Source organism: Homo sapiens, chromosome 4 (genome assembly GCF_000001405.40).
Source record: "Homo sapiens chromosome 4, GRCh38.p14 Primary Assembly".
In the NCBI taxonomy this organism is placed as follows: Eukaryota; Metazoa; Chordata; class Mammalia; order Primates; family Hominidae; genus Homo; species Homo sapiens.
The window spans coordinates 98,849,225-98,873,767 of record NC_000004.12 but is presented as its reverse complement, the minus strand read 5'-3'; the positions used below and the strand labels follow the sequence as shown (position 1 = coordinate 98,873,767).

Genomic DNA, 24,543 nt, shown 5'->3' with positions numbered 1-24,543 from the left:
CTAGAGTGCAATGGCGTGATCTCGGGTCACTGCAACCTCTGCCTCCCGGGTTCAAGCGATTCTCCTGCCTCAGCCTCCAAGTAGCTGGGATTACAGGCATGCACCACCACGCCCGACTAATTTGTATTTTTAGAGACGGGGTTTCTCCGTGTTGGTCAGGCTGGTCTCAAACTTCCAACCTCAGGTGATCCGCCCGCCGTGGCCTCCCAAAGTGTTGGGATTACAGGCGTGAGCCACAGTGTCTGGCCTGATTTGTTTTTAAGAGCATTATTTTTCTGCTTTATTTTGTGACTTCAACATTTGACACAATTTTGGGTGAATGGTTTGTGCATGGTGCCTGACATCGTGTTTTGATGTGTAGTATATGCCATAGGACATGTGAGACAAGATATGTCCCAACTTGACCTTGTTTTGTATTGTTTATGTCAAGGTGTTGAGTGTATTAGATATACTGTTGGGGCTCTGTGTTCTAGCTCTGCCTTTTAGATAATAACCATGGTTAAATATTGCAATGTCCTGCATGTCTCCACACATGGGTTTTGTAACTGAGTCAGAATGATAAGTGATTAGTAAGCACATTTTTTCTCCTTTCAGGAAACCACTATTTTCCTTTTCTACATGCTGTTTTGTAAGTAGTACTTTTATGAAGGTTGTCTTCAAATGTTCGCATCTTCCATTTCTACTGCCCTTGGGTTATCCATCCTGTCATTTTGTGCCAATCACTTTTTTTTTTAACTTTTAAGTTCAGGGATGAAAGTGTAGATTTGTTACATAGGTAAACTTGTGTCATGGGGTTGTTGTACAGATTATTTCATCACCCAGGTGTTAAGCCTAGTATGCACTAGTTGTTTTTCCTGATCCTCTCCCTGCTCCCACCCTCCACCCTCTGATAGGCCCCAGTGTGTGTTGTTCCCCTCTGTGTGTCCATGTGTTCTCATCATTTAGCTCCCACTTACAAGTGAGAATGTGGTGTTTGGTTTTCTGTTCCTGCATTAGTTTGCTAAGGATAATGGCCTCGAGCTCCATCCAAGTCCCTGTAAAGGACATGATCTTGTACTTTTTTATGGCTGCATAGTATTCTGTGGTGTATATGTACCACATTTTCTTTATCCAGTCTATCATTAGGCATTTAGGTTGATTCCATGTTTTTGCTATTGTGAATAGTGCTGCAATGAACATACATGTGCATGTCTTTTTATAATAGAATGATTTATATTCTGTTGTGTATATACCCAGTAATGGGATTGCTGAGTTGAATGCTATTTCTGCCTTTAGGTCTTTGATGAATTGCCACACTGTCTTCCACAATGGTTGAACTAATTTACACTCCCACCAACGGTGAATAAGTGTTCACTTTTCTCCACAACCTTGTCAGCATCTATTATTTTTTGACTTTTTAGTAATAGCCATTCTGACTGCTCACATCTATTTTGTAAATAAAGTTTTATTGAAACATGGCCTTACCCATTTGTTTACATATATTCATGGCTGTTTTTGTGCCACAATGTCAGAGTTGTCTTAAAGTAGACAGAGACTATCTGGCTGTAAAGCCTGAGATATATACTAACTGGTTCTTTATGTAAAAAGTTTGCTGACCACCTACTCTAAACGTTTTGCAGTGATGGTAGTGTTGGCAAAAAACCAAATAGCTTACCCTCTTTAAATTTCCCTTTTACTTCTTACAAACTCCTAACACCATTTACGACTTTGTCATCAATATGGTCAACTAAGCTTGGTTTGCATGGCTCTACTTCCTTTCACCTTCCACTTAGGCAGTGTCTCCAAGTCCACTGCAGTTTCTATTTGTCTCCTGACTGTTACTGTATCAGTTCTTACCTAAATAACATAACAACTGATCTCCCTACTTTTTGCCTATGCCCTCAAATGTGCTCATTGTTGATCTATCTCCCTGTTAGGTGTTCTTTTTCTCCTCTTTAGAAAGCAGCCAAGGAAACCAGGGTTCTCTCAAAGTGGAAAATACTGGAACTTATGTACTGTTATCATAATGATAGTTGGTGTTTTGAATTATAAGAATGATTCCAGGTGGTTTCTAAATCATCCAATAAAGCTGTATTCACTCTGTAGGACTGTCTTAGTATTTCATGCATTACCTAAAGCAGCATGTAGTGTGGATTTATTTGTTCATTGCCTTATTGCAGGAAGTAAATTTAAAAATGAAGAAAAGGGAGAATGTGAAAAAATATTAAACCAAAGGTAAGGTTAGCATGCCAAATGCATTCCATAAAGCCCATTCTAAGTGACCACTCTAAGTGAAGCAATTTACTCAAAGATGCTGATGTCATGCTTGGGCAACTTTCATTTGTGGGATATAATTTTTGCCCTAAGAAATCTAGCAGGCTATGCCAATGGAAGACAAGATCCAATAGATGTATACTTTATGATAACATTAAAGAAAAAGTAGCCACCCTCTCCAGAAAAGTGCATGCATGTTTGGGAGGCAGACAACCTGAGTTCACATTCTAGTTCTGCTATTAGCTGTATGAACTTAGTCAAAGTTAATTGAGCTTTCTAAGCTAGTTTCCTCATTTGTGAAACAAGGAGTAATACCTGTATCAGAGGGTGGTTGTGAGACTTTATGAATGAATTCCTGGGTGTACAGAATGTAACGTATGGCTTGGTGTGTAGCAAATGTTTAATGGATGTTAGCCTTCCCTATGTCTCGGTGAAGGAACACCTATAGTGTGAGTAATGCAGTGACTCTGTAACTCTTTTAGTTTTTTTTCTTTTTGTAGAGTTCATCAATGTAGGTTGATGAAATGATAAAAATTGCAATTCTGTAAATGTAACTGGGTGGTGATCCACATTTTGAGGCCCAAGTTTATAGTCCAGCCTAATTTATACAGTCTCAGGGTGTAACGTATGTTTCTTAATTTAGTACTTCCTGATAAAGTTATGTGTTCTTCACCCTGTGGTGGCAACACCTTGATGATTGATTATCATTTAATACCTATGCATCAAATTGTGTGCTACGGAGGACTTTATAGATCTCCTGAAGCTGCACTCAATAGAATTCTTGGCTGAAGATCCTTGTACAGTATTCCCAGATTAAGGCCCCCTGATCTAGAGGGATGATAATAGGTGCATAAATCTTTAAATCAGTGGTTAAGTCTGTTAGACCCAGCACCTCATATGTAAAATCAGTGCACACTATTATCCTGAAGTGAAATTCATGTGTATATAACTTGCTTACCTACTTTTTTTTAAAGGAAAAAAGTCTTAACTGGAGAATAATAGAGATAATATAATAGGTGAAATAAGAGGGAAGTCGTTTTAAATAAAATATTTGTTTTAGTTCCAACATAACTACATAATGAAGTAGTCTGATAACTGAACCTCCACCTAGATGTGCACATGATAACTTTTAAATTCAGGCTATTAAATAAGCTTTTCTGAAATGGGGCACAACACTTAGTAAAAGTTCTGGACAAAAATATATCTTTTCCTCAATTTACATATGGTATTCCTGGAAAATTCAGAATACATTAAAGTTGCACAAAAAATACTTGGTGCTAGATAATGTTAGAAAATTGAGTTCAATTCAAATGTTCACTATTATGATTAGATTATTTTAAAATTACATAAATATTTGGCAAGATATTTGAATGTCATTTGAGATGCCAGCTCTTAGATGTGTAGTAGTGCCAGAAGCACTTCATCAGTAATTGTTCCAACCAAAGTGTCCCATTAATTTTCACTGGTACAGCAGTGCTCACTGGTTCCGTGCCCATTGAAAACCAGTCCTATAGATCAGTGCTTTTCAAATTTATTGTGCTCATGAACCAGCTGGTCACTCTAATTATGCTTGCAGTCAGGTCTGTGATTCAGCATTTCTAAGAAGCTCCCAAGTGATTCAGATGATCCTTATAGTCCAGGTACCACCTTTTAAAAATCTATTTTTTGTTGATAATTGTACATATTTATGGGGTATGTGTGATATTTTGATACATGCATACAATGTGTAATGATCAAATCAGGGTATTTAGGATATTCATCATCTCAAACATGTAGCATTTATTTCTTTGTTCGTGTACCTACATTTTGAAAGTATTAAGGCATAATGCCCTGTATCTGTGCTATCCAAAACAGTAGCCACTATCCACATGTGGCTACTTAATGTTAATTAAATAAAATTCACCAGCTCCTCATACTAGCTACATTTCAGGTACTCAATACATGTGGCTAGTGGTTATTATGTTGGACAGTGCAGGTATTTCTAGCTCCAAAAGTTCTATTGGACAGCTGTGCTGTATGCATTTTTTTCTCAGGTGAGCTTTTAATGTTTCAAATGGCAGTGCATTTTACTTTTGGACAAGTATCTGAAGAGCAATCATATGCTTTGAGAGCTAAGCTTAAATAAGATTGTCATTCTTTTCGTTGAGTCTGATAATGAAATGTACCTGATTGGAATGCCACCAAATCATCCTAGCAGTGAGTCGAAGTTCTGCTGCAAAGAGTTCTAAAGCATAAAGTGTTTTTCAAAAAAGTTCCTTACTGTATCCTACAGTAAGAAATGCATTCTATATTGTGGCTCAGTTTATGTAGATATATGTATACACCAAAACAAAAGTTTCATTAGGTGGTTCTCAGTGTTACCATATGGAATGCGTTTTGAGATTTTCTATGCTAGTCTATTTCATTTAAAAATTTTAAAAAATTTAAGAGACAGAATCTCACTGTGTTTCCTAGGCTGGAGTGCAGTGACTATTCACAGGTGCCATCATGGTGCACTACAGCCTCAAATTCTGGGCTCAAGCCATCTTCTCACCTCAGCCTCTCTAGTAGCTAGGATTATGGGTGTGCACCACCCAACTTCTTCTTCTTCTTCTTTTTTTTTTTAATGCTAGTCTCAATCTTCTTTATCTAGTCAGTCACAATCTGTAGTTTGAAAAAGTGCCACAAAAAGTATCTGTGGTAATGTGGGCCTATGAAAATTACAAAGCAATTTATAACAGTTGGCCACCTTGGTCATAAAAAATTCTCTCTGAAGCCTTCATTGTTTGTTTACAATTGGTTAATTTAACTTCAAGTTATACTCTTAACATAAATACAAAATATATCCCTAAATAACTGAATGAATCATTTTGCTACATGGCACTGTTAACTATTAATCAGCTAAATAATCTGTCAAAAGTGTAATGCTGGTTTTAGATAGGTCCTCCGTAGAATATGTTTTGCAGGGGGTAGGGGGGTCAATGATGGAACATTTAATTACATTAGACTGGTTGCCTATTTAAAGCCTCACAATTCATGACCGTAAGCCTATGTCATCATCTGCAATAACATGAATACTTCTCTTTGTTGTGTATAGCAGAAGAGCCTATATTCACCTTATCCAAATGTGGTGTCACGTTGTTACAAATTAAAAAGAAGCTGGAGGGAATATGCACATTCCTTTTTTATACCACTAGAATTCTGACTCATTAAAAGATGTTTTTATTACTCAGTCTCCCACAAGTATCAAAAAGCAGACTCAGCCAATCAACAAATATTTATTGAGCATCTATTATGTGTTGAATAGACAGTGGAGAACAATAGGACATGGTTTCACCCTCATGATGATTATCTGTAAATCTATGAAATGTGTCCAAATCTCTACTACATTTTGTTAAGTGATTATTATATGCCAGGTACCTCTTAAGTGCTGGTTTACACTAGTAAAAGATCAGGACAAAAACATCTCCCCAGATGAAGCTTTTGTTTTTTGGGGGGTTTTTTGGTTTGCTTGTTTTTTTAAAAAATGCAATCTTTCTATGTTGCCCAGACTGGCTCAGTGGTCCTTCTGCCTCAGCCTCCCAAGTAGCTGGGAATACAGACATGCAACATCACACCCAGCTAATTTTTAAATTTGTTTGTAGAAATGGGGTCTCACTGTGTTGCCCAGTCAGGTTTCGAACTCCTGGGCTCCAGTGATTCTCCTGCCTCAGCCTCCCAAGTAGCTAGGAATACAAGCATGAGCCACCATGCCTGATTTAAAGCTTTTGTCCTAATGGATTTGTAGATATGCTCATTTCCCCCTTGTATTTCTAAGTTTTTGCCTTATACAATTCATGTAAAGTTATTTGATGCTAAAAGATGGCAATTTTCATTGCTAACTGTAGGCTTTATTACACAGAGAAATGTCTAATATTTCTCCAATGCAATATATATCCCTGGTATTATCTGTCTGAACTCCTCTCCTCTAGGAACTATTGCTTCTCTCTAACCCCTGAAGTCTAACCTTTAGTGTAGGTTAGAATTGTAAATGGACAGGTTTCACTTTAGACCAATCATTAGAATTATCTATGTGTAAATTCCAGGTTATTATTATTATTATTATTATTATTTTTATTTTTTTTTTTTTTTGAGACAGAGTCTCGCTCTGTCGCCCAGCCTGGAGTGCAGTGGCGCGATCTCGGCTTACTGCAAGCTCGGCCTCCCGGGTTCATGCCATTCTGCTGCCTCAGCCTCCTGAGTAGCTGGACTACAGGCGCCCACCACCATGCCCGGCTAATTTTGTATTTTTAGTAGAGACGGGGTTTCACCTTGTTAGCCAAGATAGTCTCAATCTCCTGACCTCATGATCCGCCCGCCTCGGCCTCCCAAAGTGCTGGAATTACAGGCATGAGCCACCGCGCCCGGCCAATTCCAGGTAAATATTTTTTTTTTAACTTTACGTCTTGACATAATTTCAAAGTTACATAAAAATTATAACAATAATACAAGAATACATTTTTTTTTGAGACGGAATTTCGCTCTCGTCACCCAGGCTAGAGTGCAATGGCGCCATCTTGGCTCACTGCAACCTCCACCTCCTGGGTTCAAGTGATTCTCCTGCCTCAGCCTCTCGAGTAGCTGGAATTACAGGCACCCACCACCACGCCTGGCTAATTTTTGTATTTTTAGTAATGATGGGGTTTCTCCATGTTGGTCAGGCTGGTCTTGAACTCCTGACCTCAGGTGATCCACCTGCCTCAGCCTCCCGAAGTGCTGGGATTACAGGTGTGAGCCACTGTGCCTGGCAAGAATACCATTATTTCCAAGACTATCCTTCACCCAGATTCATTAAATGTTAGCATTTTACTACCTTTACTTTATTCTTTTTTAAAACTTTTTATAGAGATGGGATCTCATTATGTTGCTCAGGCTGTTCTCAAACTTCTGTCCTCAAGCGACTCCAACCTTGGTCTCCCAACGTGCTGAGATTACAGGCATAAGCCACGACATTCAGCCTATTCTTTCTACCTAAATTTTTTTCCGAACCATTTGAGAATAAGCTGACATGATACTCCTTTAGCCGCAAATATTTCAGTGTGTATTTCCTAAAATCTTTGTTTCCTAAAACCAAGAACATTTTTTATTTTTTAATCTTAAGACCGAGTCTCTCTCTGTCGCCAGGCTGGAGTGCAGTGGCACGATCTCGGTTCACTGCAATCTCTGCCTCTCGGGTTCAAGCGATTCTCCTGCCTTGGCCTCCTGAGAAGCTGGGACTACAGGCGTGTGCCATCACACCCAGCTAATTTTTGTATTTTTAGTCGAGACAGGGTTTCACCATGTTGGCCAGGATGGTCTTGATCACCTGACCTCGTGATCCACCCCCCTCGGCCTCCCAAAGTCCTGGGATTACAGGCGTGAGCCACCGCGCCCAGCTTTCAAGAACATTTTTTTTGCATAACCATAGTATAATGATCAAAATCAGGAAATTAGCATTAATACACTCAAGCATTTTATAGGCCTTATTCAGATTTTACCATCTGTCCAATACGCCTCCTACTCTTTCTTGTTTTGTTTTGTTTTTCGCTTGTCAGTTGGATTTCAGTTGCATAGCCTGATGAAAATAACCATTTTATTCTTTTTAACTATAAATTTTTCATATTTTCTGGGGGAGTATTTTCTATCTGCTGGTCAGTTTTGCTGCTTTTTCGTTTTATTTCTATTATTATTTTTCACAGAGACAGGGTCTATGTTGCCCAAGCTGGTCTTGAACTCTTGGACTCAAGTGACCTTTCTGCCTCAGCCTCCTGAAGCGCTGGGATTACAAGTGTGAGCCACTGTGCGTGGCTTATTTTATTTCTGATATTATCTTTGATGTGCCATTTTAAAAAAGGTATTTAGTGAGGCCAGGAGTGGTGGCTCATGCCTGTAATCCCAGCACTTTGGGTGGCTGAAGGGGGCAAATCACCTGAGGTCGGGAGTTCAAGACCAGGCTGACCAACACGGAGAAACCCTGTCTCTACTAAAAATACAAAATTAGCCAGGCGTGGTGGCACATACCTGTAATCCCAGCTACTTGGGAGGCTGAGGCAGGAGAATCACTTGAACCTGGGAGGTGGAGGTTGCGGTGAGCCATTGCACTCCAGCGTGGGGAACAAGAGTGAAACTCTGTCTCAAAAAAAAAAAAAAAAAAAAATTAGTGAATTGCAGTTTGAGTGTACTTTTCTGGTATTTCTCACATTTTTGGTTGCCAGGCCTCCTTGGTACCATCTAAGTTTTGTATGCCCCGCTGCCTGTATCAGTCCTGCTCACTTCCATTTTTGCACTGCTTATAGCAAAGAAGGATATACATTTTAGGGTGCACGTGTATTTTGCTGGTGCTCTCTGAGATTTGCCACCAGTGGGCTGTCTCTATTCTGTCTGTACAATGTCAGGTGCTTTCGCACTACTTACCTATGTTTTGGCGTCCATATTATACTTTTTCTGTGTTTCATTGAGAAAGGTCATAGGGTCTCCCCTACCAGATATTCTTGTTGTTTTCGTCCAGGTGCTGTTATATATAAAGTTTCGGTGCCGCAAAATAAATAGCACTCGAATATAAAATTTTCCTTTTTAATTCTTAGCAAGGCAAGGCACTTCTATAGAAGGGTGAGCCCTTACAGATGGAGCAATGGTGAGTGCACACTTGCACAAGGGAGGGGAAGGGGTGCTTATCCCTGACACACGTGGCGCCTTCTGCTGTGTCTTTCCCTTATGGGCTAGGGTTAGACCGCACAGGATAAACTAATTCCGATTAGCTAATTTAAAGAGAGTGAGGGGGTGAGTGGTTGGCGGGAAAAAAGGTTATGACAGAGCAGGTTATTGGAATGAGTCAGGGTGGAGTAGGTAATCAGAATGAGTCAGGGCGGAGCAGGTAATAGAAAAACGTTGCTTTAGGAGGAAGTTAAGTTTAAAAGTAGAAGGTAAAGAATTGAACATACTGACATTGATTCTTTGAAAAGATATTTAGAACTTATATCTAACAGTTCTAAAAGGAGAAAGTAAAAGATGCTGATTTGCACAGCTATTTCACATCAGAAGTCCTTATTCCTCTTCACTGTTACTTCCTTATGATTTTGGGAAGGAAGGGAGACAAATTTATCCTCTGTCTATTATTTTCAATTGGAGGCCAGAGTTTGGTCATTTTTAACTTTTCAGATCATCCTTATTTACTGTACAAGATTAATTTATCTTTATTGTTATAACATATATCTTTGATTATAGTCATCTTTTTAGTTTTTAATTTTTATTTATTAATTTTTTCACTTTTAATTTTTTTTAAAATAAAATAGAGACAGTTTTGTTATGTTGCCCAGGGCTGGTCTTGACCTCAAGCGATCCTCTCGCCTCAGCCTCCCAACGTGATGGGATTACAGGTATGAGCAACCCCACCCTGCATTTTTAGTCTTTTAAATGCTTGATTGCTACTTCTTTTTCAGTGTTTTGCTTTAAACTACTTTCTTTGCTTTTGTATTTCTAAAATATGCAAATTTTGTATTTGACTTGTATAGTGGATGTTTTAAGTCTCCAAAATCATTCTTTAATCTGTGTTCTTCAACTGCCAGTGTCAACCGTGACATGACATGTAAGATTTTTATTTAGCTCCTCTTATTTAAAAAAATTCAACTTTTATACTTCTCAGTCTTTTTTAAATGCCCAATTATTTTAAATACTTTTAAAAACATCATCTCTTTTCTCACTGAATAGGAACTTTTGACTATTTGTACCATGGGTTTTTTTTTAATTTTTTTTTAAAATGTTTGAGGCAAGGTTTCACTCTTGTTGCCCAGTCTGGAGTGCAATGGTGCAATTTTGGCTCACTGCAACCTCCACCTCCTGGGTTCAAGCAATTCTCCTGCCTCAGCCTCCCAAGTAGCTGGGATTACTGGCATGTGCCACCACGCCTGGCTAACTTTTATATATTTTTTAGTGGAGACAGGGTTTCTCCATGTTGGTCAGGCTGGTCTCGAACTCCTGACCTCAGGTGATCTACTCACCTTCGCCTCCCAAAGTGCTGGGATTACAGGCATGAGCCACCACACCCAGCCTTGTACCATGTTTTATAATCACGTTTACAGCATTTAAGTTTATCTCTAATTTATCTTATTTATTGCCTGACTCTAATGTCATTTTTTAAAATAATGAAATCAGCTGTATTATTTTGATTTCATTATTTTAAAATAATGAAACTATGTGTAATAATAAAATAAAATTATTGTTTTGGGCTGACTCTATAAAGGATATTTGCTCACTAAAGATCCAAACAATTTATAAAAGTATAGGATTAAATGAAACTTACCTGCAATTTCCTTCCATCTCCCTGATCCAAGATAAGTACTGTTAATATTTTGGTGGTAATTTTTTTTTAACGTTTTTATTGAGAAAGGATCTTGCTCTGTCAGTCACCCAGGCTGGAGTGCAGTGGTGCAATCTTGGCTCACTGCAGCCTCAACCTCCAGGGCTCAAGTGATCCTCCCACCTCAGCCTCCCAGGTAGCTGGGGCTACAGGCCTGCATCACCAGTCCCAGGTAATTTTTGTATGTATATATATTTTTCTACAGGTAGGGTTTTACCATGTTGCCCAGGCTGGTCTTGAACTCATAGGCTCAAGTTATCCACTGGTCTTGGCCTTCCAAAGTACTGGGATTATAGTCATGAACCACTGCGCCTGGCCTCGTGGTCAAATTTTTATGGACTCATAAAATTCACATAGATACAGGGTTAGTTAAGATGTTGGGCTGCAGTTGACCCAAATACTTGACTGAAAGTAACGTCAACAATAGAAATGTATTCATTAAATATATAACATGTAATAAGAAGGCTGGAGATGACAGTTCTAGGATTGACAGCAGTTTAGCAGAGTCAGGGCTTTGGATTGACTTCTCTTGATCTTGCCTTCCCGGCATAGTCACAGGATGGCTCTACCAGCTTCAGTCATAACTTCCTCAGATAACTATGTTCAAAAGCTTGAAGCAAGGAAATGAGCTGCTTCTCTTCACGTCTCTCTTTTCAAGGGGAAACAATATGCTTCCTAGGAGACTCTAGCAGATTTTTAGTTCCCATTGGTCAGGTTACATGGTCATCCTTCAACTACAAGGGAGAAAGGGAACAAGTGTTTCTGGCATTTTCTGCTACTATATTGAGAGGTAAGCTTTGATAGCAAGGAAGAATGATCAGGAGTGGCTGTTGGACAGACAACCTATGGTATCTGCCACACATGTATAATTGTACATAATGGGGACTGTATCATTTGTGTTGATTTTGGTGTGGACATTTTTCAAAAGAGCATTATGTTTTTCCTTACCTTGCCCAAGCTCCACATGAGCATTATCAACACTGGTACCTCCCTTTCACTAGGCTAATATATGTATATGTATAGAGTGGAGGTTTAGTCATTGTTTCATAAAATGGGTTCATAGTATAAACACCTGAATCTTGCTTTTCTTGCTTAATATGTAGTACAGATCCTTCTAAGAAAACAGGCATAGATCTAATTTCAGTTCTTTTAAAGCCTGCATAAACTACGCTGTGTATGTAACACATTTTACTTAATTATATCCTTATTGCTGAGGATTCACTCTTGTTTCTAGTTTTTTCCACTATAAGTAGTGTTGTTATAGATATTCTTCTTTTACATTTGTCCTTATATTTGGAAGTTTATTTAGATTATGCAGATGGTGACCTACTGCTCAGTTAAGGGGAATATTATCATACATATGCATCATTTTACAGAAACTCAGAAATGCTGTTATAAATCCGCATATTCTCCATGAGTATAGAAGAGTTCCATTTTATTAGCATCTGTTCTAGTGGTCAGTGTTTGTTCATTGCATGTTTGTTCATTCTGTCAGTGTCTACTGAGTGTCTGCCATGTTCCTGGCACTGTTCTAGGTGCTAGAGTGAAAAAGTTCCTGTCTCCTACTAAGGGAGACAGGCAATAAACAAATGAATACAATAAAATAATTATTATACAAATGCAATAAGCAAGTCAGTTATGGTAGGTAACTGATAAGTGTTGTGAGGCAAATAAAGTAGGGTCAGCACATGGAGCAGTATGGAAGGAGCATTATATATAAGATTGTTGAGTGATCAGGGCAAATTTCTGAGCAGTTGACTTTTGGCCAAAGACCTGAATTAAGGAGCAAGCCAGAGTTGTATCTAAGGAATGAGTGTTTCAGGAAAAGGGAGCCGTGCTTTGTGTGAAGGTCACTAGCTGGATAGTGTGGCTGGGGTGGAGTGATAAGGGAGAAGTAGAAAGAAATGAGGTCAGAAGGGATGGTCTGGGTTTGGATTACATTAGCCTCTATAAGCTACAGTAACAACTTTGGTAACATGTTAACTAAAGCTCTTCGTTCTTGATAATCTAATGGATGTAAAGTAATTTGTCATTGTTACTTTATATTTCTCTGCATAGTGGTATTTTGAACATCTTTTCATGTATGTATTTGTATTTACTTTTCTGCATATTTACTTTCTTAGGACATTTTTCTGTCAAGTTGCTTTTTTACTACTGTTTTCTAAGAGCTATTTAACTATTTGTTTTGCATTATAAATACTTTTGCAAGCATATTGTTTATTGACTTTAGTTATAGTACTTTTTCTCATCCAAAAACTGTGATACAAATCTATGTATGTATGTTAGTTCATACAAGTTAATGACCATTATATCCACATGAATTGCTACTTTATATGATGCCTCTCTTTATTCAGTGTATGGCTTTTAATATTAGATGCACATGGACTGACAGTAACAAAGAGAAAAGGTTTTGCCACTTACTAGCTTGTGACCTTGGGTAAGTTTCTTAACCTCTGTACTTCCATTCTGTTAAAATGGGGATTATAACAATCTCATGGGATTGTTATGAGAATTAGGAGGGTTAATATTTCTAAAGTGCTGAGAAGAGGGCCTGGCACATTGTAAGTATTATATAAATGTCTGTTACACAGCTAAGATATCCTTTACTTGCTGAATGAAAAATAATTTCCAGATATGTAAATATTCAGAGACCATACAAACCACCTACAGCATTTTAGCCAAATGTTCAAGAAAGGACTCAAACTTGATTAAGAAAGAAATCTTTTTTTTGGAGGGGTAAGAAAATGACTCTTTTTCTCTCTCTTATGCTCTCTTTTTCTTTCAATTTGGAAGTTTGTATGATTTTATCCTTGGAGTACAGAGTTTTATGAAGTCATGTGTAGGTGTGTATGTTTTTTCTGACAATCCTAACTGGGACTTAGTGGACCCCTTTAATTTGCAGACTTCAGTTTTCTTTTATTAATTTGTTTAATTATTGCCTTTCCTTCATCTATACTTCTTTAACTTCTCTTGGCACTCCTGTCATTTTTTATGAGAGATGCTCTGGATCTGTCCTGGTAGTCTTTATTTTTTCTCTCATGAGTCCCAATTTTTTGCATGTTTGCTGAATGCTTTGAGCTAGGCCTTCAACCTGACCTTTACATTTCACCATTTGAAATCTAAATAGTGACCTTTCTCTGCTTCAATTCATCTACTTATTTTCTAAGTTTAAAACCCATGGTTTGTGATTTGTAATCAGGTTTTCTTAAGCACTTTTTTTGGTTTGTTCAAGATGGCTTCTTTGTCCTCCAGTAATTCTGTTTTGGGAGGTAATAGCGGTTCTGCCCACCTCCTCACTCTGGCTGCTAGGTTAGGGGTCTTGTTATTTTCCTTTTACTCTTCATGGCTACACCCTTGCTCAGAGCTAAAGTCCTGATGCTGGTGTCCCTCTAGTGCAACTCCACTAGTTCTGAGAGGCACTGTCGTTTTCTATCTTGCAGCCCACTGGCACCTAAGCCAGAAGGTGTTTATTCACTGCTGACAATGCTCTATTCCCTTGACTTCTCAGATTCTGGGCAGCAGGGATCCAATCTACCTGTCAGTTTTCCACAGGTCCCCAAGGGCCAGAGATTCAAAAAGAAATGTTCATGAGATCTGGTATGATCTTACATCAGTGACATTTTTTTTTCTTTTTCTTTTTCTTTTTTTTTTGAGATGGAGTCTCCCTCTGTTGCCCAGGCAGGAGTGCAGTGGTGCAATCTTAACTCACTGCAACCTCCGCCTCCCAGGTTCAAGTGATTCTCATGCCTCAACAGCCTGAGTAGCTGGGATTACAGGCGCCCACCACCACGCCTGGCTCATTTTTGTATTTTTGGTAGAGACAGGGGTTTCACTAGGTTGGCCAGGCTCGTCTTGAACTCCTGATCTCAGGTGATCTGCCCTCCTCAGCCTCCCAACGTAGTGGGATTGCAGGCGTGAGCCGGCCAAGCATATATGGGTGACTTTTCAATTCTCATCCTAAGGCTCTTGTTCTTTTTACAGGTCCCCATGACTTCATCTGGCCTGGAAGGGAAAGTCCTAAGTTCACTCTATCTGAAATGATCTAAGCAGACCTGAGGGTTAGCTCACATAGTCCATACCTACCTACTTGGGGAAGCAGTTGTTGCTGGGCTGGAGTAAAGAGTGTCGAATGGCAGGAACACATTCATATGGCCATCTTCTCTGAAATCTCCTAATCTTGAGCTCTGTATTTTGGGATGTTTGGTCTTTATATAATTTTTCCAAGAAGGATTCATAGATGGTATATTTTTCAGCCTTTGAATATCTGAAATATTCTTTCATTTCTCTTACATGTTAAAGGAAACTTGAATAGGTATAAATAATTTAAAATCCTTTGGTTGCAATGTTTTTCTTTGAAAACTTTATAGATATTGCTTAATTATTCTTGGCATTTAAAAATTGCATTCAGGCCCACCCCCTAATGTTTGCAGCTGTAGGGCCCAAGGCAAGAGTTCAAATGAAGATCCACATATAATATGTCTAACTATTTAAAATACTTGAATTGGCTGAGCACAGTGGCTCATACCTATAATCCTAGCACTTTAGGAGGCTGAGGCGGGAGGATCACTTGAGCCCAGGAGTTTGAGACCAGCTTGGGCAACAAAGTGAGGCCCTGTCTTTACAAAAAAATCAGTCGGGTGTGGTGGCACAGTCCTCTAGTCCCAGCTGCAAAGGAGGCTGACGTGGGAGGATCACATGAGCCCTGGTAGGTTGAGGCTGCAGTGAGATGTGATTGTGCCACTGCACTCCAGCCTGGGTGACTGAGTGAGACACTGTCTCAAAGAAAAACAAAGAGAAAATAAAAAATAAAATATAATATTTGAATCAAGCTAGCAAACTTCAAATATATTCCATCTTCTTACTTCGGCAAATAACTTTTCATTATAATGATATTAAGAAAGATATGTAACATTGTGGTTTGTATATGACACAGTACAAAATATCAAAGATGACAATTATTGCACTTATTCAGGTGTTTAGCAGCAATGTTTGAGTGAGTGATGAAAACGTATCTTTGGTTAATATTCATTTTGTTCAGATATCTTTTTCAGGAACTCTGCTTATTTTGATTCTGTTATCTATATATTTGGCTATTCTTCCATTGTTTTTATCTCTTCTTGTCTTTTCTTTTATTTTTGAGATGGAGTTTCGCTCTTGTTGCCCAGGCTGGAGTGCAATGACGCGATCTCTGCTCACGGCAACCTCCGCCTCCCGGGTTCAAGCAGTTCTCCTGCCTCAGCGTCCTGAGTAGCTGGGATTACAGGCATGCACCACCACACCCGGCTAATTTTGTATTTTTGGTAGACACGGGGTTTCTCCATGTTGGTCAGGCTGGTCTCGAACTGCCAACCTCAGGTGATCCGCCCGCCTCAGCCTCCCAAAGTGCTGGGATTACAGGCGTGAGCCACCATGCCCAGCCATCTCTTCTTGTCTTTTCAAATCTTCATTCCAAGAAACTTTCTCAGTTTTGTCTTGCTTTCATCCTAGCAAAATCATTAATTTAATTCTGTGTGTGTGTGTGTGTGTGTGTGTGTGTGTGTGTGTGTGTATTTTTAGAGACAGGGTCTTGCTCTGTGACCAGGCTGGAGTGCAGTGGTGCAATCATAGCTCACTACAGCCTCTAATTCCTGGGCTCAAGCAGTCTTCCTGCCTCTGCCTGTAAATGAATTTTCTCATTATTTGTGTTCTGTTGGCAGTAATATAAAATATAAAAAATGTATTTCAAATGTATAATATGTACATACATTTCATTGAAAATGAAAAGTTAAGTAAATATTAAAAATTATTTTCATGTTTTCAAAAAAGTTGTCTTTTAAAATATTCAAAATTATTTTTAAAAACAAATATAAATATAATTGTCTCAATTTTAAATAAAAATTTAAATAAAACTTTAATTTTTGAAAATTTAATAAAATGTTATTAAATGGTTTATATAAATAAACCTCTGCAATTCTAATGTTTAATGTCCACCTTGTTGCCAGTGTAAAAAATCAGTAGCACATTTCACATATTACTTCTACAACTATTTATACATACATTTAAGAGTTGGTTAATATTGCACAGTGTTGCACTTTGGGTACCAGGTATGAATATTTTGTTATTTGTATCATTGTGTCTTTTAAAAATCTAGTCTTATTTAGACAGCTCTGCTATTTTTTCCCCATGACACTGCCTATTTGAAGAAACAAGATCAGTTGTTTTGTGGGATGATCCACACTCCAGATTTTTAAACTTATTCCTCTATCCTCTCCCAGTTCTAAACTGGAAGTTCAGCCTAGTTGCTTGACTAGAATCATGTTAAATATTTTTGAAAATATTTATTTTCATGGCTGGTGCTGTGTATGGCATATTGCTTCCCATCAGTAAGCACATAATGTCAAGCTTGATCACCTGGCTAGGATGATAATATGAGATCTCTCCATTGTAGTGATATGTTTTTCCTTTGCAACAAGCAAGTAATCTGTGGGGTGGTACTTTGTTTTTGTTTGTTTGTTTTGAACTCAGCTTCAGAATGGGGTGATACTTTGGTTCTGCGCCAATATTTTCTTCTCCAACAATGTTATATCTAATGGTCTTAGCATCCTTGTCTGAATTACTTTACTGAGATTTGCAGAAAGATTTTCCAAGTAAATTCCTCTTCATTTATTAACACATTTTTTTCTCAGTCAGAAAGAATAATTTTCACTCATCAGCTGCAGATAAATTTTGGTTTGTCCTCAGAGTTTAATTCCTCTCTTTAAACTACCAGCTTTCAGAGTAAGAAATGGTCACCTATAAGGAATGAAGAGGGGATGAGGAGAGGACAAGGATAGAAGCAAGACTTCTCTGAATATAACCTTTTCTATAGTTTTGATTTTCTTCTTACCAGTGTGTTTTAAATGTTTTAAAAATTAATTTAGAAGTGTAAAAAGCAAACATCCAAATTTAATTCAAACAATTAAAGAACCTGTTTTTATTTCATATTGTTATGATCCATACAGAGAAAGTAATGATTCCAAGTGACTGTTGAATATAGTACTCCACTTGTACATCCTTAATAGGATATATTCTAAGAAAAAAAGGAACTCAACTTAAACTTTGCTAGGTAGTTTTATTGCTGATAGTAATATCAGTATTGTAATTATCAACCAAGATTTTCACTGCCAGAGAAAAGAGCTGCAAATATCACATCAAAAGTTCAGAAAGATCACTGTAGTCTTAAATATGAATTATAAATGTCAACATGAACTTCTTCAAATATATTTAAATAATTTCCTAGTTTTGTGCACTGAAAGAACCTAGATCTGATGATGCCCCAATTGGTAAAAATAAGGTTCCTAGGTATATATTATCTCACGCACAAAATTTATGTTTACCCTATAGTAAAACTGCAAGGCTGGTTAAATCCAAGTCTCCTCTCAAAGAAGTGCCTGTGCTCTGTGCAGCAGAACATAACTGGAGAGAAACCCACCCACATGAACTTCCCTGCCCTGAACCTACCTCATGAGTGTCGTATATATCCCTGGTCCATTCACTGCGTTCCTGTTCTAATTATCTCCTGCTGCTGTTTCCCCATACTTCCAAGTCACTTCCTTTGTCCTCACTCTGATGATTTTTGCTTCCTAATTCTCTGAGAAAATGGAGGCAATCGGAAGAAAACTCCCTAGGCTCCCATTTCATCTGCTCACGTAGACAATGACTCACAGGTATCCTGGTCTCACCTCTGCTCCTATAGAACCTGTTTTTGTTTTTCTTATTGTTGTTTGCTCTGCCAGCCACTGCCTTCATTCTCTGCTTTACAGCAAAATGCCTCAGAAGAGTGATCTGCACTTTCTAGAGGATCCATGAAACTATCATCCATGTACATCTATAGAACATTTCTGTCTCCTCAGGTTTCCTCATGTTCCATCCTAGTCAATACCACCCTTAATAATCACTATTCTGACTTCTGTCATTATTCATTAGTTTTGCCTGATCTCAAACTTCATATAAATGCATCATCCAGTATGCACTGTTGTGACCTCTTTCACTTAATACAGTGTCTATAGTATTAATCTATTTTGTTGCAAGCATCAAGGTTTTTGATTTTTTAAAATTACTCTGTACTATTCCATTGTAAGACCATAACATAACTGATTCATTCTACAGAGGGACATTTGAGTGGCTTCTAGTTTTTTAGTATTATGAATTACGCTGCTGTGAACATTCTTAAAGATATATTTTGGTGGACATGTGCATTCATCTCTTGGGTATGTGTCTAGAAATAGAACTGTTTTGTTTTAGCACATAGTGCCATCAATTTTTTTATTGCCAAACCATTTTCCAAAGTGGTTGAACAAAGTTATCTTTTTTTTTTTTTTTTTTTTTTTTGTTGGGACGGAGTTTTGCTCTTGTTGCCCAGGCTGGAGTGCAATGCGCAATCTCGGCTAACCGCAACCTCTGCCTCCCGGGTTCAAGCGATTCTCCTGCCTCAGCCTCCTGAGTAGCTGGGATTACAGACATGCGCCACCACGCCTGGCTAATTTTTTATTTTATCAGCAATAAACGAAGGTTCCAATTGTTGCTTCATAGCAACATTAATATCTTATATTGGCAGTCTTTTTAATTTTAACCATATGGTAGGTGAGTTATCTCATTGTAGATTTTTTTTTAGCAGAGTATTGTGCTGTTGCCCAGGCTGGAGTGCAGTTGCACCATCTCAGCTCATTGCAACCTCTGCCTCCCGAGTTCAGGTGATTCTCCTGTCTCAGCCTCCTGAGTATCTGGGACTACAGGTGCCCACCACCACACTCGTCTAATTTTTTGTACTTTTAGTAGAGATGGGGTTTCACCAGGTCACCCAGACTGGTCTCAAACTCCTGGCCTCAAGTGATCCACCTGCCTCAGCTTCCCCAAGTGCTGGGGTTACAGGCATGAGCCACTGCACCCGGCCTCATTGTAGTTTCAATTATTATTTCTATGAAAAATAATTATATTCAACACCTTTGCATATTCTTGTTGGCTACCTGAATAGCCTATTTTGTGACAGACCTGTTCAGGTCTTTTTCCCATTTAAAAAAATTGGATTATTTGTCATTTTCTTGCTGTTTTGGATACGAGCCTTTGTTGGATATATATGCCATGGAAATCTCTAAGTTTGTGGTTTGCTTTTTTAATTCTAATTTTAAATATAGTTTAGATGTAGAGATGGAGTCTTGCTTTGTTGCCCAGTCTGGTCTCAAACTCCTGACCTCAAGTGATCCTCCCACCTTGACCTCCCAAAGTGCTGGGATTACAGATGTGAGCCACCATGCCCAGCCTGTTGACATATTTAGTTCTGTCTTTTGATGAATTTTAATTTTAATTTTAATGAAGCTAGTCTTTTATGGTTAGTGTTCTATTTAGGACTGTCTTGAAGATGTTCTCTTGTTTTAAATGCTTTATTGTTGTATTTTATACACTTGATACTGTGATACATCTCAAATTAATTTTGGGCAAAGTATGATTGGGAGGGGTCAAGTTTCATTTTGTCCTATAAATTCAATTGTTCCAATACCAATTATTAAAAAGCTATTCATTCCCTTACAGAGTTGCACTGATATCTGTCACAAATCAGGTCTTTTTCTGACTATTCTCTTCCACTGGTCTATTTGTATATTCTTGTGGCAATCCCACACTATCTTAACTACTGCAACTCTGCACTAAGTCTTGAATTCTGGTAGCATAAATTCTTCAAATTTATCTTTTTTCAATCTTGATTGAGCTTTTCTGATGCTGTGTGGTTTTTTTTGATACCTCACGAAGTAATACATGTTAATGGGTCCAATGCAGATAACATCAATTTTAGGTTATCAGCAATTAGTTGATAGAAAAAAAAGTCTCTTCCATGATGCTTGAGGCAAATATTTTGAAGAGCCTCTGATGGTAAAATCTCACCAATGATGTTTTAAATTTCCATAGTCCGACTTTACTCATTCCTTTATTCTCCCAGGCCAATCATGTGCAGAAAGGTACCAGTTGCTAAAATGAGGGTCCATAATATTCATTTTGGAATGGTGGTAAGAAGTGGAAGGTTAACACTGATATCCTTGACATAAATAAATCAGAGAATAAAGATATAGTTAATAAATCCTCAGCTTCTTTCCGTATATTATTGACACCACCAGGATCTGTTGATAATGAATTGAGAAATTTTATTTATTTACTTATTGAGATGAGTCTCACTCTGTTGCCCAGGCTGGAGTGCAGTGGCGTAATCTTGGCTCACTGCAACCTCCACCTCCTTCAAGTGATCCTCCTGCCTCAGACGCCCGAGTAGCTGGGACTACAGGCGCCCGTTACCATGCCCAGCTAATTTTTGTGTTTTTAGTAGAGGTGGGGTTTCACCACGTTGGCCAGGCTGGTCTCAAACTCCTGACCTCAGGTGATCCACCTGCCTCAGCCTCCCAAAGTGTTGGGATTACAGGCATGAGCCACTGCTCCTGGCTAATGAATTGAGAAAATTTACATCTAAATCAGTGGTTCTCAACTGGGAGCAATTTTTGAACCCTAGGGGACATTTGGCAATGTCTGGAGTACTTCTGTTTTTTTGTTGTTATTGTTGTTGTTTGTTTTGTTTTTTTGGTCACAATTGGGATGAGGGGAAAGTGGGGAGGAAGGTGTGACTAGCATCTTGTAGGGAGAGGCCAAGAATGCTGCTAACCATCCCACAATGCACCAAACAGCACCCCTCACCACCAAGAATTATCCAGCCTCAAATGTCATAGTGCTGAAGTCAAGAAACCCCGATCTAGATGATTACATCTTTCTCTAAATGATCTGCTGGCAAATAACCCACCCACTTAATTCTGCTATGGGATTTGCAAAATAAAGAGAACAGACAGCACGTGTCTTGATGAGGGAATATGGTGCAGGAGTGGGGAGGTAGGATTTAAATATTAAGATAAACCACATGCAGTTTACCAGAAAATAAAATCAAGAATGCAAGGAAGAAATGGTGGTAATGTGAACTCTGGGGTCCACAGCAGCTCTCCCATGGAGGTTGGAGAAAAGGCTGACAAACCCACTCTCACTTCTATGTGAAACCATTCTTTCCTGATTTGCAATTGTAGCATTGGTTATGTGGAAGGGGAGGAGATATGCCACCCTACTCTGAAACTTTCCAGGGGGAATGGTATTTCCGGTAGCTGTAATTTGAAGCTAGTGTTTACATAAAAGTCTCAGTGACCACTCTCCATCAGGCCCTAGTATCTTTCTTGCTCTTCTCCCTTCACCCTCTTGTACTGATTCTTTTCCTCTCCCAGAGTTTAGAATCCTGGGTTTTGGGAACCACTCATGCTTTGCTCTCTATTGGGTCATTTCTATTAGTATACAAATATTTGTTTATCGCTACCGTCTTAAAAAATAAAACCTTTCCTTAAATCATTTCTGTTTTTTTTTTCTGCAAAACTTAAAAAGGTTGTGTTTCCTTGTTGTATCCAATTTAATTCTTCCAATTTTTGCCTGAAGTCACTTCAATAAGTCTTAGCTTACCTTCTAACTAGTCTTCCTACTTCTATCCTTCCTTCTCTGTTATATTCTCAGCACAGCCAGAATGATCCTTTAAAATGATCCTTTAAAAACGCAATATGCATGCTCAAAACGCTGTAATAGCTCCTCATTTCGCATAATAAAAGCCAAAGTTTTTCATATCCCAAAGACTCTATGTGCTCTGACACTCTTTACCTCTTTTTTTCCCTATCACCTAGTAATCTCCTCCTTGGTCATTCCACACCAGCCATTCTGTTCTCCTTGACGTTTCTAGAGTATTCCAGTCTCAAGGCTTTTCCATTTTTTCCTCTGCTTAGAGCCTCTTTCCTCCAGATATCCATATGGCATATTCCCACTCCTCCTCAAGTCATTGCTCATCAAGCTCTACCTTGACTCTAACTCCTCAAATTGTAAAAACTCCATGTTGTTTCCCAGTCTTCCTCACCCAGTTCTGTTTTCTTCACAACAATCATCCACTTCTTTTCTTTTCTTTTCTTCTTTCTTTCTTTCTTTTCTTTCTTTCTTTCTTTCTTTTTCTTGTTCTTTCTTTCTCTTTCTTTCTTTTTCTTGTTCTTCTTTCTCTTTCTCTCTTTCTCTTTCTTTCTCTTTCTTTCTTTATCCTTCCTCCCTCCCCTCCTTCCTTCCTTCCTCCCTCCCCTCCTCTCCCTTCCCTCCCTTCCTTCCTTTCTTCTTTCCTTCCTTCCTTCCTCCCTTCTTTCCTTCCTCCCTTCTTTCCTTCCTTCCTTCCTTCCTTCCTTCCTTCCTTCCTTCCTTCCTTCCTTCCTTCCTTCCTGCCTTCCTCCCTCCGTCCCTCCCTCCTTCCCTCCTTCTTTCTTTTTTGAGAAGGGTCCCACTCTGTCACCCAGGCTGGAGTGCAATAGCACAATCATGGCTCACTGCAGTCTGGAACTCCTGGGCTCAAGTGATCCTCTGACCTCAGCCTCCCAGGTAGCTAGAACTACAGGTGCCCTCAACTTCTAAGTTGTTCATTCCTTCAATATTTTTTGATTACCTACTGTGTGCCAGGCATAGTACTAGTTTCTGGGGATAAATCAGTGAACAAAATAGACAAAAATATCTGCCTTCACTGAGTTTATATTCCAGAGGAGGGAGACAAATCAACATAATAAGGAAATCATATTTTTTTTTTAAGTAGAAGAATAAATTGTCAGTGGCTCCTCAACTTGTGAGATGCAATTAAAACACTATTTAGAGGAAACTTTACATTAGAAAATAAAAAGGCTGAAAGCTAATAAGCTAAGCATTCATTTTAATGCTTAAAGTTAGAAAAGAAGTAAAAAGAAAGGAGTGTTAAAGATAAGAGAATTAAAACAAATTTACAGCTCAGGAAAAGCATGGTAAAAAGATAGGAGAATGAATGAAACAGAAAACAAATCTACAAAAGCAAGGACCAACCAAACTAAAAGTGGGTTCCTTGTAAACATTAATACATTTGATTAAGTTGTTCAGTCTGATCAAGAAAGAAAGCAAAACGAAATACCCAAGATCAGGAATTTAAAGAAAAATGTCACTTCAGATTCTACAAACACTCAAAAGATAACAAACTTTTTTTTTTATAACTTTATGCCAATACATTTGAAAGTTTGATTTAAAGGGACAAATTTCAACAAAAATGCAACTCACTAAACCTATGAAAGAAAGAGGAATAAAATCATATTACTATTAAAGCAACTGAATTAATAATTAAAAACCTATCACACACATACAAAAGTATCCAGGCCCAGATGGCATCAACTACAAGTTCTGCCAAACATTTAGGCAGAAATTATCTCAATCTTGTAAACTCTTCCAGAGAATAGATAAGAGGAAAACTTCCCACATCATTTTATAAGTCTAGCAAAATCCTGATACAAAAATCCAACAAGGACAAAATGAGAAAAGAAAAATAAAGGCCGATTTTATTTGTGAACATGGATGCAAACATGCTAAATAAAATCATTTCTTTTTTTTTTTTTTGAGATGGAGTTTTCGCTCTTGTCGCCCAGGCTGGAGTGCAATGGTGCGATTTCGGCTCACCGCAACTTCTGCCTCCTGGGTTCAAGCGATTCTCCTGCCTCAGCCTCCCGAGTAACTGGGATTACAGGCATGCGCCTCCACACCCGGCTAATTTTGTATTTTTAGTAGAGACGGGGTTTCTCCATGTTGGTCGGGCTGGTCTCGAACTCCTGACCTCAGGTGATCCACCCGCCTCGGCCTCCCAAAGTGCTAGGATTACAGGTGTGAGCCACCGCGCCTGGCCAAATAAAATAATTTCAAAACAAATTCAGCAATACATTAAAAAATAATGTATCATGACTGGCTGCTCTGCCTGTGGAGTAGCCATTCTTTAATTTACTTTCTTAATAAACTTGCTTTCAATTTACTCTACTGATTTGCCTCAAATTCTTTCTTACATGAGATCCAAGAACCCTCTCTTTGGGGTCTGGATT

At 38.5% G+C, this 24,543-nt stretch overlaps 1 long non-coding RNA gene across 1 annotated transcript in view; it reads left to right on the top strand.

Moving 5' to 3' along the window:
• The window catches only part of LOC105377343 (uncharacterized), a 78,644-nt gene continuing 65,338 nt past the window's right edge, over window positions 11,238–24,543 (top strand). The window contains exon 1 of the long non-coding RNA XR_007058196.1: window positions 11,238–11,396. This is a non-coding gene — a long non-coding RNA (uncharacterized LOC105377343). The remainder of the gene's footprint in view (window positions 11,397–24,543) is intronic.